The sequence below is a fragment of the Homo sapiens genome, chromosome 9 (assembly GCF_000001405.40).
Source record: "Homo sapiens chromosome 9, GRCh38.p14 Primary Assembly".
Classification (NCBI taxonomy): Eukaryota; Metazoa; Chordata; class Mammalia; order Primates; family Hominidae; genus Homo; species Homo sapiens.
Genome location: NC_000009.12, coordinates 15619236 through 15634745, shown reverse-complemented (window position 1 = coordinate 15634745; position 15510 = coordinate 15619236). Strand labels below are relative to the sequence as shown.

General features: G+C 38.7%; 1 protein-coding gene across 35 annotated transcripts in view; it reads right to left on the bottom strand.

Annotated features, from left to right (window-relative positions):
- Positions 1-15510, bottom strand: part of CCDC171 (coiled-coil domain containing 171) — a 556042-nt gene that overhangs the window by 474181 nt on the left and 66351 nt on the right. For 34 of the 35 annotated variants that reach the window (XR_007061261.1, XR_001746227.3, XR_001746228.3 and 31 more), the window contains one exon: positions 11333-11479. Coding sequence is in view for 30 of the 35 variants with exons in the window: in XM_047422930.1 (XP_047278886.1) it covers positions 11333-11479 (147 nt within the window). In the remaining 5 variants the exon portion in view is untranslated. Of the gene's footprint in view, positions 1-11332; positions 11480-11928; positions 12009-15510 lie in introns of all 35 variants that reach the window. The other variant, XM_017014443.2, reaches the window with a different exon arrangement.

The following is a 15510-nucleotide window of genomic DNA, read 5'->3' as shown; positions in this document are numbered from 1 at the left end:
GGATTATAGTAATGGTTGCACAATGCTGTGAATACACTAAAAACCACTGAATTGTACACTTCAAATGGACAAATTTATAATATGCAAATTACATCTCTATAAAGTGTTTTTTTTACTCATCGCTGTAAGAAGTTAGACTTCAAGGCATCCACCCTTACCCCAAGTAGCCAAACAAATACCCTACCCTAGCCCTCACACAAAGGTTTATTATCTGAAGAATATAAATCTGAACCAGAAGCTGAACACAGAAATACACATGGAGAGAGAGGAAGAGGGGTGCACCAGACCAAAATCAGGGGGATGTCTGCACATTAAACAGCATCATAACCAGATTCTTCCTCCATTTCCTTCTTCCATTTTCTAACCATCAAACCTGAAACTAGCAGATATCCCTTTGTAGAAATAAAAGAAATACAGAGAAAAGACCTATAGATTGTAATGTTTAAAAATTTTCCAAAGAAACTTTTTTTATTATTCAAATTATATCTTTAATTTTTTTAAAAGTTAAAAAAAATTTAAATTATTTTTCTTTTTTTTGTGTGTTTGGGTTCTGCTTTCTTTTGTTTTATTATTATACTTTAAGTTTTAGGGTACATGTACACAATATGCAGGTTAGTTACATATGTAAACATGTGCCATGCTGGTGCGCTGCACCCATTAACTCATCATTTAGCATTAGGTGTATCTCCTAAAGCTATCCCGCCCCCCTCTCCCCACCCCACAACAGTCCCCAGAGTGTGATGTTCCCCTTCCCTGTGTCCATGTGTTCTCATTGTTCAATTCCCACCTATGAGTGAGAATATGCGGTGTTTCGTTTGTTGTTCTTGCGATAGTTTACTGAGAATGATGATTTCCAATTTCATCCATGTCCCTACAAAGGACATGAACTCATCATTTTTTATGGCTGCATACTATTCCATGGTGTATATCTGCCACATTTTCTTAATCCAGTCTATCATTGTTGGACATTTGGGTTGGTTCCAAGTCTTTGCTATTCTGAATAGTGCCACAATAAACATACGTGTGCATGTGTCTGTATAGTAGAATGATTTATAGTCCTTTCGGTATATACCCAGTAATGGGATGGCTGGGTCAAATGGTATTTCTAGTACTAGATTCCTGAGGAATCGCCACACTGACTTCCACAAGGGTTGAACTAGTTTACAGTCCCACCAACAGTGTAAAAGTGTTCCTATTTCTCCACATCCTCTCCAGCACCTGTTGTTTCCTGACTTTTTAATGATTGCCATTCTAACTGGTGTGAGATGGTATCTCATTGTGATTTTGATTTGCATTTCTCTGATGGCCAGTGACGGTGAGCATTTTTTCATGTGTTTTTTTGGCTGCATAAATGTCTACTTTTCAGAAGTGTCTGTTCATGTCCTTTGCCCCGTTTTTGATGGGGTTGTTTGTTTTTTTCTTGTAAATTTGTTTGAGTTCATTGTAGATTCTGGATATTAGCCCTTTGTCAGATGAGTAGGTTGCAAAACTTTTCTCCCATTGTGTAGGTTGCCTGTTCACTCTGACGGTAGTTTCTTTTGCTGTGTAGGAGCTCTTTAGTTTAATTAGATCCCATTTGTCAATTTTGGCTTTTCTTGCCATTGCTTTTGGTGTTTCAGACATGAAGTCCTTGCCCATGCCTATGTCCTGAATGCTAATGCCTAGGTTTTCCTATAGGGTTTCTATGATTTTAGGTCTAACGTTTAAGTCTTTAATCCATCTTGAATTAATTTTTGTGTAATGGGTAAGGAAGGGACCCAGTTTCAGCTTTCTACATATGGCTAGCCAGTTTTCCCAGCACCATTTATTAAACAGGGAATCCTTTCCGCGTTGCTTGTTTTTCTCAGGTTTGTCAAAGATCAGATAGTCATAGATATGCGGCATTATTTCAGAGTGCTCTGTTCTGTTCTATTGATCTATATCTCTGTTTTGGTACCAGTACCATACTGTTTTGGTTACTGTAGCCTTGTAGTATAGTTTGAAGTCAGGTAGCATGATGTCTCCAGCTTTGTTCTTTTGGCTTAGGATTGACTTGGCGATGCAGGCTCTTTTTTGGTTCCATATGAACTTTAAAGTAGTTTTTTCCAATTCTGTGAAGAAAGTCATTGGTAGCTTGATGGGGATGGCATTGAATCTATAAATTACCTTGGGGAGTATGGCCATTTTCACGATATTGATTCTTCCTACCCATGAGCATGGAATGTTCTTCCATTTGTTTGTATCCTCTTTTATTTTGTTGAGCAGTGGTTTGTAGCTCTCCTTGAAGAGGTCCTTCACATCCCTTGTAAGTTGGATTCCTAGGTATTTTATTCTCTTTGAAGCAATTGTGAATGGGAGTTCACTCATTATTTGGCTCTCTGTTTGTCTGTTATTGGTGTATAAGAATGCTTGTGATTTTTGTACATTGATTTTGTATCCTGAGACTTTGCTGAAGTTGCTTATCAGTTTAAGGAGATTTTGGGCTGAGACGATGGGGTTTTCTAGATATACAATCATGTTGTCTGCAAACAGGGACAATTTGACTTCCTCTTTTCCTAACTGAATACCCTTTATTTCCTTCTCCTGCCTAATTGCCCTGGCCAGAACTTCCAACACTATGTTGAATAGGAGTGGTGAGAGAGGGCATCCCTGTCTTGGGCCAGTTTTCAAAGGGAATGCTTCCAGTTTTTGCCCATTTAGTATGATATTGGCTGTGGGTTTGTCATAAAGAGCTCTTATTATTTTGAGACACGTCCCATCAATACCTAATTTATTGAGAGTTTTTAGCATGAAGGGTTGTTGAATTTTGTCAAAGGCCTTTTCTGCATCTATTGAGATAATCATGTGGTTTTTGTCTTTGGTTCTGTTTATATGATGGATTACATTTATTGATTTGCATATATTGAAACAGCCTTGCATCCCAGGGATGAAGCCCACTTGATCATGGTGGATAAGCTTTTTGATGTGCTGCTGGATTCAGTTTGCCAGTATTTTACTGAGGATTTTTGCATCAATCTTCATCAAGGATAGTGGTCTAAAATTCTCTTTTTTGGTTGTGTCTCTGCCCGGCTTTCGTATCAGAATGATGCTGGCCTCATAAAATGAGTTAGGGAGGATTCCCTCTTTTTCTATTGACTGGAATAGTTTCAGAAGGAATGGTACCAGTTCCTCCTTGTACCTCTGATAGAATTCGGCTGTGAATCCAACTGATCCTGGACTTTTTGGTTGGTAAGCTATTGACTATTGCCACAATTTCAGAGCCTGTTATTGGTCTATTCAGAAGGTCAACTTCTTCCTGGTTTAGTCTTGGGTGGGTGTATGTGTCCAAGAATCTATCAATTTCTTCAAGATTTTCTAGTTTATTTGCGTAGAGGTGTTTATACTATTCTCTGATGGTAGTTTGTATTTCTGTGGGATCGGTGGTGATATCCCCTTTATCATTTTTTCTTGCATCTATTTGATTCTTCTCTCTTTTCTTCTTTATTAGTCTTGCTAGCTGTCTATCAATTTTGTTGATCTTTTCAAAAAACCAGCTTCTGGATTCATTAATTTTTTGAAGGGTTTTTTGTGTTTCTATTTCCTTCAGTTCTGCTCTGATTTTAGTTATTTCTTGCCTTCTGCTAGCTTTTGAATGTGTTTGCTCTTGCTTCTCTAGTTCTTTTAATTGTGATGTTAGGGTGTCAATTTTGGATCTTTCCGGCTTTCTCTTGTGGGCATTTAGTGCTATAAATTTCCCTCTACACACTGCTTTGAATGTGTCCCAGAGATTCTGGTATGTTGTGTCTTTGTTCTCGTTGGTTTCAAAGAACATCTTTATTTCTGTCTTCATTTCGTTATGTACCCAGCAGTCATTCAGGAGCAGGTTGTTCAGTTTCCATGTAGTTGAGCAGTTTTGAGTGAGTTTCTTAATCCTGAGTTCTAGTTTGATTGCACTGTGGTCTGAGAGACAGTTTGTTATAATTTCTCATCTTTTACATTTGCTGAGGAGAGCTTTACTTCCAACTATGTGGTCAATTTTGGAGTAGGTGTGGTGCTGAAAAAAATGTATATTCTGTTGATTTGGGGTGGAGAGTTCTGTAGATGTCTATTAGGTCTGCTTGGTGCAGAGCTGAGTTCAATTCCTGGATATCCTTGTTAACTTTCTGTCCAGTTGATCTGTCTAATGTTGACAGTGGGGTGTTAAAGTCTCCCATTATTATTGTGTGGGAGTCTAAGTCTCTTTGTAGGTCACTCAGGACTTGCTTTATGAATCTTCGTGCTCCTGTATTGGGTGCACATATATTTAGGATAGTTAGCTCTTCTTGTTGAATTGATCCTTTTACCATTATGTAATGGCCTTCTTTGTCTCTTTTGATCTTTGTTGGTTTAAAGTCTGTTTTATCAGAGACTAGGATTGCAACCCCTGCCTTTTTTTATTTTCCATTTGCTTGGTAGATCTTCCTCCATCCTTTTATTTTGAGCCTATGTGTGTCTCTGCACGTGAGATGGGTTTCCTGAATACAGCACACTGATGGGTCTTGACTGTATCCAATTTGCCAGTCTGTGTCTTTTAATTGGAGCACTTAGCCCATTTACATTTAAAGTTAATATTGTTATGTGTGAATTTGATCCTGTCATTATGATGTTAGCTGGTTATTTTGCTCATTAGTTGATGCAGTTTCTTCCTAGCCTCGATGGTCTTTACAGTCTGGCATGATTTTGCAATGGCTGGTACCGGTTGTTCCTTTCCATGTTTAGTGCTTCCTTCAGGAGCTCTTGCAGGGCAGGCCTGGTGGTGACAAAATCTCTCAGCATTTGCTTTTCTGTAAAGGATTTTATTTCTCCTTCACTTATGAAGCTTAGTTTGGCTGGATAAGAAATTCTGGGTTGAAAATTTTTTTCTTTAAGAATGTTGAATATTGGCCCCCACTCTCTTCTGGCTTGTAGAGTTTCTGCCGAGAGATCCACTGTTAGTCTGATGGGCTTCCCTTTGTGGGTAACCCAACCTTTCTCTCTGGCTGCCCTTAACATTTTTTCCTTCATTTCAACTTTGGTGAATCTGACAATTATGTGTCTTAGAGTTGCTCTTCTTGAGGGGCATCTTTGTGGCGTTCTCTGTATTTCCTGAATCTGAATGTTGGCCTGCCTTGCTAGATTGGGGAAGTTCTCCTGGATAATATCCTGCAGAGTGTTTTCCAACTTGGTTCCATTCTCCCCGTCATTTTCAGGTACACCCATCAGACGTAGATTTGGTCTTTTCACATAGTCCCATATTTCCTGGAGGCTTTGTTCGTTTCTTTTTATTCTTTTTTCTCTAAACTTCCCTTCTTGCTTCATTTCATTCATTTGATCTTCAATCACTGATACCCTTTCTTCCAGTTGATAGCATCGGCTCCTGAGGCTTCTGCATTCTTCACGTAGTTCTCGAGCCTTGGCTTTCAGCTCCATCACCTCCTTTAAGCACTTCTCTGTATTGGTTATTCTATACATTCGTCTAAATTTTTTTCAAAGTTTTCAACTTCTTTGCCTTTGGTTTGAATTTCCTCTTGTAGCTCGGAGTAGTTTGATCGTCTGAAGCCTTCTTCTCTCAACTCGTCAAAGTCATTCTCCATCCAGCTTTGTTCCGTTGCTGGTGAGGAACTGCATTCCTTTGGAGGAGGAGAGGCGCTCTGCTTTTTAGAGTTTCCAGTTTTTCTGCTCTGTTTTTTCCCCATCTTTGTGGTTTTATCTACTTTTGGTCTTTGATGATGGTGATGTACAGAAGGGTTTTTGGTGTGGATGTCCTTTCTGTTTGTTAGTTTTCCTTCTAACAGACAGGACCCTCAGCTGCATGTCTGCTGGAGTTTGCTAGAGGTCCACTCCAGACTCTGTTTGCCTGGGTACCAGCAGCGGTGGCTGCAGAACAGCGGATTTTCGTGAACCGTTAATGCTGCTGTCTGATCGTTCCTCTGGAAGTTTTGTCTCAGAGGAGTACCCGGCCGTGTGAGGTGTCAGTCTGCCTCTACTGGGGGGTGCCTCCCAGTTAGGCTGCTCAGGGTTCAGGGGTCAGGGACCCACTTGAGGAGGCAGTCTGCCCATTCTCAGATCTCCAGCTGCGTGCTGGGAGAACCGCTGCTCTCTTCAAAGCTGTCAGACAGGGACATTTAAGTCTGCAGAGGTTACTGCTGTCTTTTTGTTTGTCTGTGCCCTGCCCCCATAGGTGGAGCCTACAGAGGCAGGCAGGCCTCCTTGAGCTGTGGTGGGCTCCACCCAATTCAAGCTTCCCAGCTGCTTTGTTTACCTAAGCAAGCCTGGGCAATGGCAGCCGCCCCTCCCCTAGCCTCGCTGCCGCCTTGCAGTTTGATCTCAGACTGCTGTGCTAGCAATAAGCGAGACTCCATGGGCACAGGACCCTCTGAGCCAGATGCGGGTTATAATCTCCTGGTGCGCCGTTTTTTAAGCCCGTCGGAAAAGCGCAGTATTGGGGTGGGAGTGACCCGATTTTCCAGGTGCCACCTGTCATCCCTTTCTTTGACTAGGAAAGGGAACTCCGTGACCCCTTGCGCTTCCCGAGTAAGGCAATGCCTCGCCCTGCTTCGGCTGGTGCACGGTGTGCTGCACCCACTGTCCTGCGCCCACTGTCTGGCACTCCCTAGTGAGATGAACCCAGTACCTCAGATGGAAATGCAGAAATCACCCGTCTTCTGCGTCGCTCACGCTGGGAGCTGTAGACAGCAGCTGTTCCTATTCGGCCATCTTGGCTCCCTCCCCAGTGAAACCTTTTAACATTTCCTTATCACCCTACACAATACGGCTTCCCTAAACCCATGATTCTTAGGGTCTAACCCAAGAGACTTAGACTCCCACACAATAATAATGGGAGACTTTAACACCCCACTGTCAACATTAGACAGATCAACTAGACGAAAGTTAACAAGGATATCCAGGAATTGAACTCAGCTCTGCACCAAGCAGACCTAATAGACATCTACGGTACTCTCCATGCAAAATCAACAGAATATACATTCTTCTCAGCACCACATCACACTTACTCCAAAACTGACCACAAAGTTGGAAGTGAAGCACTCCTCAGCAAATATAAAAGAACAGAAATTATAACAAACTGTCTCTAAGACCACAGTGCATTCAAACTAGAACTCAGGATTAAGAAACTCATTCAAAACCACTCAACTACGTGGAAACTGAACAACCTGCTCCTGAATGACTACTGGGTACATAACGAAATGAAGACAGAAATAAAGATGTTCTTTGAAACCAATGAGAACAAAGACACAACATACCAGACTCTCTGGGACACATTCAAACCAGCGTGTAGAGGGAAATTTGCAGCACTAAATGCCCACAAGAGAAAGCAGGAAAGATCTAAAATTGACACCCTAACATCACAATTAAAAGAACTACAGAAGCAAGAGCAAACACATACAAAAGCTAGCAGAAGGCAAGAAAAAATTAAGAACAGAGCAGAACTGAAAGAGATAAAGACACAAAAAACCCTTGAAAAAAATCAATGAATCCAGGAGTTGGTTTTTTGAAAAGATCAACAAAATTGATAGACAGCTAGCAAGACTAATAAAGAAGAAAAGAGAGAAGAATCAAATAGGCGCAACAAAAAATGATAAAGGGGATATCACCACCGATCCCACGGAAATACAAACTACCATCAGAGAATACTATGAACACCTCTATGCAAATAAACTAGAAAATCTAGAAGAAATGGATAAATTCCTCGACACATACACCCTCCCAAGACTAAACCAGGAAGAAGTTGAATCCCAAAATAGACCAATAACAGGCTCTGAAATTGAGGCAATAATTAATAGCCTACAAACCAAAAAATGTCCAGGACCAGATGGATTCACAACCAAATTCTACCAGAGGTACAAGGAGGAGCTGGTACCATTCCTTCTGAAACTATTTCAATCATTAGAAAAAGAGGGAACTCTCCCTAAGTCATTTTATGAGGCCAGCATCATCCTGATACCAAAGCCTGGCAAAGACACAACTAAAAAAAAGAGAATTTTAGACCAATATCCCTGATGAACATTGATGCAAAAATCCTCAGTAAAATACTGGCAAACTGAATCCAGCAGCACATCAAATAGCTTATCCACCATGATCAAGTGGGCTTCATCCCTGGGATGCAAAGCTGGTTCAACGTACACAAATCAATAAACGTAATCCATCATATAAACAGACCCAAAGACAAAAACCACATGATTATCTCAACAGATGCAGAAAAGGCCTTTGACAAAATTCTACAGCCCTTTATGCTAAAAACTCTCAATAAACTAGGTATTGATGGGATGTATATCAAAACAATAAGAGCTCTTTATGACAAACCCACAGCCAATATCATACTAAATGGGCAAAAACTGGAAGCATTCCCTTTGAAAACTGGCCCAAGACAGGGATGCCCTCTCTCACCACTCCTATTCAACATAGTGTTGGAAGTTCTGGCCAGGGCAATCAGGCAGGAGAAAGAAATAAAGGGTATTCAATGAGGAAAAGAGGAAGTCAAATTGTCCATTTTCAGATGACGTGATTGTATATTTAGAAAACCCCATCGTCTCAGCCCAAAATCTCCTTAAACTGATAAGCAACTTCAGCAAAGTCTCAGGATACAAAATCAATGTGCAAAAATCACAAGCATTCTTATACACCAATATGAGACAAACAGCCATATCATGAGTGGAACTCCCAATCATGATTGCTACAAAGAGAATAAAATACCTAGGAATCCAACTTACAAGGGATGTGAAGGACCTCTTCAAGGAGAACTACAAACCACTGCTCAATGAAATGAAAGAGAACACAAACAAATGGAAGAACATTCCACGCTCATGGTTAGGAAGAAGCAATATCGTGAAAATGGCCATACTCCCCAAGGTAATTTATAGATTCAATGCCATCCCCATCAAGCTACCAATGACTTTCTTCACAGAATTGGAAAAAAACTACTTTAAATTTCATATGAAACCAAAAAAGAGCCCGCATTGCCAAGACAATCCTAAGCAAAAAGAACAAAGCTGGAGGCATCACGCTACCTGACTTCAAACTATAATACAAGGCTACAGTAACCAAAACAGCATAGTACTGCTACCAAAACAGAGATATAGACCAATGGAACAGAACAGAGCCCTCAGAAATATTAGCACACATCTACAACCATCTGATCTTTGACAAACCTGACAAAAACAAGAAATGGGGAAAGGACTCCCTCTTTAATAAATGGTGCTGGGAAAACTGGCTAGCCATATGTAGAAAGCTGAAACTGGATCCCTTCCTTACACCTTATACAAAAATTAATTCAAGATGGATTAAAGACTTAAATGTTAGACCTAAAACCATAAAAACCCTAGAAGAAAAGCTAGGCAATACCATTCAGGACATAGGCATGGGGAAGGACTTCATAACTAAAACACCAAAAGCAATGGCAACAAAAGCCAAAATTGACAAATGAGATCTAATTAAATTAAAGAGCTTCTGCACAGCAAAAGAAACTACCATCAGAGTGAACACGCAATCTATAGAATGGGAGAAAATTTTTACAATCTACCCATCTGACAAAAGGCTAATATCCAGAATCTACAAAGAACTTAAACAAATTTACAAGAAAAAATCAAACAACCCCATCAAAAAGTGGGCGAAGGATATGAACAGACACTTCTCAAAAGAAGACATTTATGCAGCCAACAGACACATGAAAAAATGCTCATCATCACTGACCATCAGAGAAATGCAAATCAAAACCACAATGAGATACCATCTTAACACCAGTTAGAATGGCAATCATTAAAAAGTCAAGAAACAACAGGTGCTGGAGAGGATGTGGAGAAATAGGAACACTTTTTGACACTTTTGGTGGGAGTGTAAACTAGTTTAACCATGGTGGAAGACAGTGAGGCGATTCTTCAAGGATCTAGAACTAGAAATACCATTTAACCCAGTGATCCCATTACTGGGCATATACCCAAAGGATTATAAATCATGCTGCTATAAAGACACATGCACACGTATGTTTACTGCAGCACTATTCACAATAGCAAAGACTTGGAACCAACCCAAATGTCCAACAATGATAGACTGGATTAAGAAAATGTGGCACATATACACCATGGAATACTATGCAGCCATAAAAAATGATGAGTTTATGTCCCTTGTAGGGACATGGATGAAGCTGGAAACCATCATTCTGAGCAAACTATTGCAAGGACAGAAAACCAAACACCGTATGTTCTCACTCATAGGTGAGAATTGAACAATGAGAACACTTGGACACAGGATGGGGAACATCACACACCGGGGCCTGTCATGGGGTGGGGGAGTGGGGAGGGATAGCATTAGGAGATATACCTAATGTAAATGATGAGTTAATGGGTGCAGCACACCAACATGGCACATGTATACATATGTAACAAGCCTGAATGTTGTGCACATGTACCCTAGAACTTAAAGTATAATAAAAAATTAATTAATTTTAAAAAATTGTCATATATTATTCTCTGCCTAGCCTCCTTATTGAATGTTTTTACTAGTGTCAATAATTTCAAAGTTGATTTTACTATTCATTTTATTTACATATCATCTAAAAATATTAGGAATCACACTTCCTTCCTCCCAAAAGTTATAATCCTTATTGCTGTTCTTAACAGTGTTAAGTGACACAGTGAGTTTAATAAGTGTTAACTCTAGTACTTTGCCATTAAATACTCTTCATAAGTATTTATTTGCCTAATAAAGATTACAAATTATGTTTAGGACAAAACTTCTTTATCTGTTTAAATATTTCATTTCCCACAAAGCAAAGAGAAATTTTAAAAAGATGAACTAACAAATCAATTACATTTCTCTTAAGATTAAAAGTTATTTTCAGTATCATTCACGAATAAAAATCCTGTTTTTCATCTGTAAATTGATGCTCCTTTCCCAAGTAAAGTCTCATCTGAAAAGCATTCCACAAAACCATACATGATTCAAACTACAAAATTAAAATGTAAAATTACTTTTATGATTTAGAACCTATGTACACCAAAACTTTTCCTGTGTTGCTTTCTCAACCTAATAATGTAAACAATTACTCTCAAACTTCCCAAATATTCCATGAGAGTTAATTGTTCAAAAGTGAACAGATTTTTTTAAACTAGGGCAAAACAGAAAATACTCAGATACAAAAATTTTCAAAGAAGCCAAATATACATTATAAATAAGTGCCCCTAAAATTAGTTTTATATATTATCACAGAGTAAAACTCTCCAATCTTAAATCACGGAATGGGTTTTATGTGTGTGTGTGTGTGTGTGTGTGTGTGTGTGCGCGCGCGCGCATATGTGAAAGTTTGTACGCATATATATTATAAAGGAATGAGAAAATGTACCTCAAATTCTTTTCTAAGGCGTTCCTCTCGTTGAGTGCTAAATTCAAGTTCACTTGTTTGTCGCCGTAAAAGGTCAGAGCAGTCCATATGTTCTGTTTCTAATTTTTCTACTTTCTTATGCATATTTTGCACAGCAGTATCTTGCTCCTGGAAAATAATTCATTTTTGCATCAATAAAGTTTATAAGCCATCAATGACTAAGAGTCACTCCAATAGAAGACAGTGAGTAACTAAATCTGTGCTTCAACTATAATAATAGGTTAATTTATATAGGCAAAAGAGGCCTAGATATTTTCCATCAATGTTTCAGAATGTCCATGTGTTTAAAAAGCAATACTGAAGTTTTAGAATTCAAAAACTCTGATTAATATTACAACGGAAAATGTTATAGCATATGAGAAAGTTACATTAGTTTAACTGACCTCTGAAGGTATTTATATAATGCAGTAGTTCAACTATCATATATTATGTTTCCCCTTCTCATTAAAATTTTTAAATGTATATTGCCCTTTTTATAATAAGAAATGATTAACTTGAATGCCTAATAATGTTTATAATGCTTACATGAGCTCACGGTACTTAAATTACATGCTTACAGCTTTTAAAATTGCATCCACTAGATGGCTGTGTTTCATTTCCTCTTGGATTTTCAAAAAGCTTTCAAATCTTTGCTTAGCTATTGAAAAAGAAATAACTTCAGGTAGTCTTATACTAAAATCTCTCAATCCCCTTTCCCAACTAAACACAGAAATGGGAGTTGAATTTTATTGAAAAAGTTCAAAAGTAAAGTTAACACAAATATCAAAGGCATTCTCCACAGTAACTAATCTAGATTCATTGTTGTCATTTAAGGCCTTTAACAAAGCCCTCTTTCCCACATTTCCCTCACCACAGTAATGTTATTCATGGACAAACACACATGAATATTTATATATGCTTCCAAGAATACCTAGCCACTCAAAAGATACCATTAGAATCTGAGTATGTTACAAACATCAAATATAATTCTCTATCAAAGATTCTAGTTTGAAAAACACCCAGCATCCTAAGTCCACAGTGAAGAGATGAAGAAACATTTTAAATTCAACTTTTATTTCATATTTCCAATTTCTTATTTCTATTTTTTTAACTTTTTAGGTTCATGGGTACATGTGTAGGTTTGTTATATAGGTAAACTCATGTCACAGGGATGTGTTGTACAGATTATTTCATCACCCAGGTACTAAGCCTAGAACCCAAAAGTTATTTTTTCTGATCCTCTTCCTTCTCCCACTCTCCACCCTCAGGCAGAACCCAGTGTATGTTGTTCCCCTCTTTGTGTCCATGTGTTCTCATTGTTTAGTTCCCACTTGGAAGTGAGAACATGTGGTATTTGGTTTTCTGTTCCTGTGTTAGTTTGCTAAAGATAATGGCCTCCAGCTCCATCCATGTTCCTGCAAAGGATATTACCTCATTCTTTTTTATGGCTGCATAGTATTTAATGATGTATATATATCACATTTTCTTTATCTAGTCTAACACTGATAAGCATTTAGGTTGACTCCATGTCTTTGCTATTGTGAATAGTGCTGCAATGAACATATGCATGCCACGTGTCTTTGTGGTAGAACAATTTCTATTCCTTTGAGTATATACCCAGAAATGGGATTGCTGGATCAAAAGGTAGTTCTGTTTTTAGTTCTTTGAGGAATCGCCACATTGTTTTCCACAATGGTTGAATGAACTTACATTCCTGCCAATAATGCATAAGTGTTCCCTTTTCTCCACAACCTCGCCAGCATCTGTTATTTTTTGACTTTTTAATAATAGCCATTCTGACTGGTCTGAGATTCCAATTCCTTATTCTTATTCTTATGAATCCCCTTATTCATAAGATTACTATTCTATAGCAGGCTATATATGAACTCTTAATAATTACTTCCTTCAGGTAACAGACTTCTTAACAAAGGCATACCTTAGAGATATGGCTGGTTCAGTTCCAGACCACTGCCATAAAGCATATATTGCAATAAAGTGAGTCACATCAATTTTTGGTTTCCAAAAAATTGCAAATGAAAGTAATGTTTGCACTATAGTGTAATCTATTAAGTGTGCAATAGCATTATATATAAAAACATATTTATTTTAATTTAAAAATACTTTATTGAGGTCAGGCACAGTGGCTCACGCCTGTAATCCCAGTACTTTGGGAGGCCAAGGCAGATGGATCACTTGAGCCCAGGAATCTGAGACAAGCCTGGCCAACATGGCAAAACCCCATCTCTACTAAAAATACAAAACATAGCCAGATGTGGTGGCGCACATCTATAATCCCAGCTACTATGGGAGGCTGAGGCAGGAGAATCGCTTGAACCCAGGAAGCAGAGATTGCAGTGAGTCGAGATCACGCCACTGCACTCCAGCCTGGGCGAGAGAGCAGGACTCTGTCTCAAAAATAAATAAATAAAATTAAAATACTTTACTGCTAAAAAAAAAAATGCTAACCATCATCTGGCCCTTCAGGAAGTCATCATCTTTAATGGTGGAAGGTCCTAACTCAATGTTTGTTGATGACTGCTGACTGATGAGGGTGGTAGCAGCTGAAGGCTGGGCAGTCAGTGCCAGTTTCTTAAAATAAGGCAACAAAGAAGTTTGCTACATTGGTTGACTCTTTCTTCAAAAAGGTTTCTCTGTAGCATGCAATGCTGCTTGATAGCATTTTACTAGCAGTAGAACCTCTTTCAAAACTGAAACCCTATGGCTACTTTAGCAACTAAGTTTATGTAATATTCTAAATCTTTTGCTGTCATTTCAGTAATGTTCACAGCATCTCCACCAGGAGGAGTTTCCATCTCAAGAAACTATTTTCTTTGGTCATCTATAAGAAGCAACTCCTCACCCATTCAAGTTTTATGAATGCATGAGATTGCAGCAATTCAGTCACATCTTCAGGCTCCACTTCTAATTCTAATTATCTTGCTATTTCTAACCTACAGTAACTTATTCCACTGAAGTCTAAACCTGCCCCCACCCCCAAAGTTATCCATAAGGACTGGAACCAACTTCCTCCAAACTCCTGTTAATGATGACATTTGGACCTCCTCACATGAATCACAAATGGTCTTAAGGGCATCTAGAATGGCAAATCCTTTCCAGAAAGTTTTCAATTTAATTTGCCTAGATCCATCAAAGGAGTCACTATCTATGTCAGCTATAGCCTTATGAAATGTATTTCTTAAGTAATAAGACTTGAAAGTCAAAATTCTTCATTGATGCATGTGCTGCAGAATGGATGTTGTGTTAGCAAGGATGAAAACAACATTAACTTGCTGGTACATAACCATCAGCGCTCTTCAGTAACCAAGTGCATTGTTAACAAACAATATTTTGAGAAGAATCTTTTTTTTCTGAGCAGCAGGTACCGTGGGCTTAAATATTCAGTTAAATATTCTGTAAAGAGATGAGCTGTCATCTGGGCTTTGTTGTCCCATTTATAGAGCACAGGCAGAGTATATGTAGCATAATTCTTAAGGGCCCTAGGATTTGGAGAATGGTAAATGAGCAATGGCTTCAACTTAAACTCACCAGCAATATTAGCCCCTAACCAGAGAGTCATCCTGTCCTCTGAAGCATTAAAGCTGGGCACTGACTTCTCCTCTCTAGCTCTGAAACACCTAGATGACACCTTCCAGTAGAAGATTGTTTTGTCTGCAATGAAAATCTGTTGTTTAGTGTGGCCACCTTCATCGATTATTTTAGCTAGATCTTTGGGATTACTTGCTGCAGCTTCTACATAAGCACTTGTTTCACCTTGCATTTTTATATTATGTAGAAGTCTTATTTCCCTAAAAGTCATGAACCAATCTCTCCTAGCCTCCAACTTTTCTTCTCCAAATTCCTCACCTCTCTCAGCCTTCATCAAATTGAAGAGAGTTAGGGTCTTGTTCTAAATTAGGCTTTGACTTAAGGGAATGCTGTGGCTGGTTTGATCTATCCAGACCACTACAACTTTCTCCATGTCAGCAATAAGAATGGCTGGCTCTCTTATCACTTATGTGTTCACTAAAGTAGCACTTTTAATTTCCTTCAAGAACTTTTCCTTTGCATTCACAACTTGGCTGTTCGGCACTAAAGACATAGCGTTTGGCCTGTACTGGTTTTCAACATTCCTTCCTCACTAAGCTTAATCATTTCTAGCT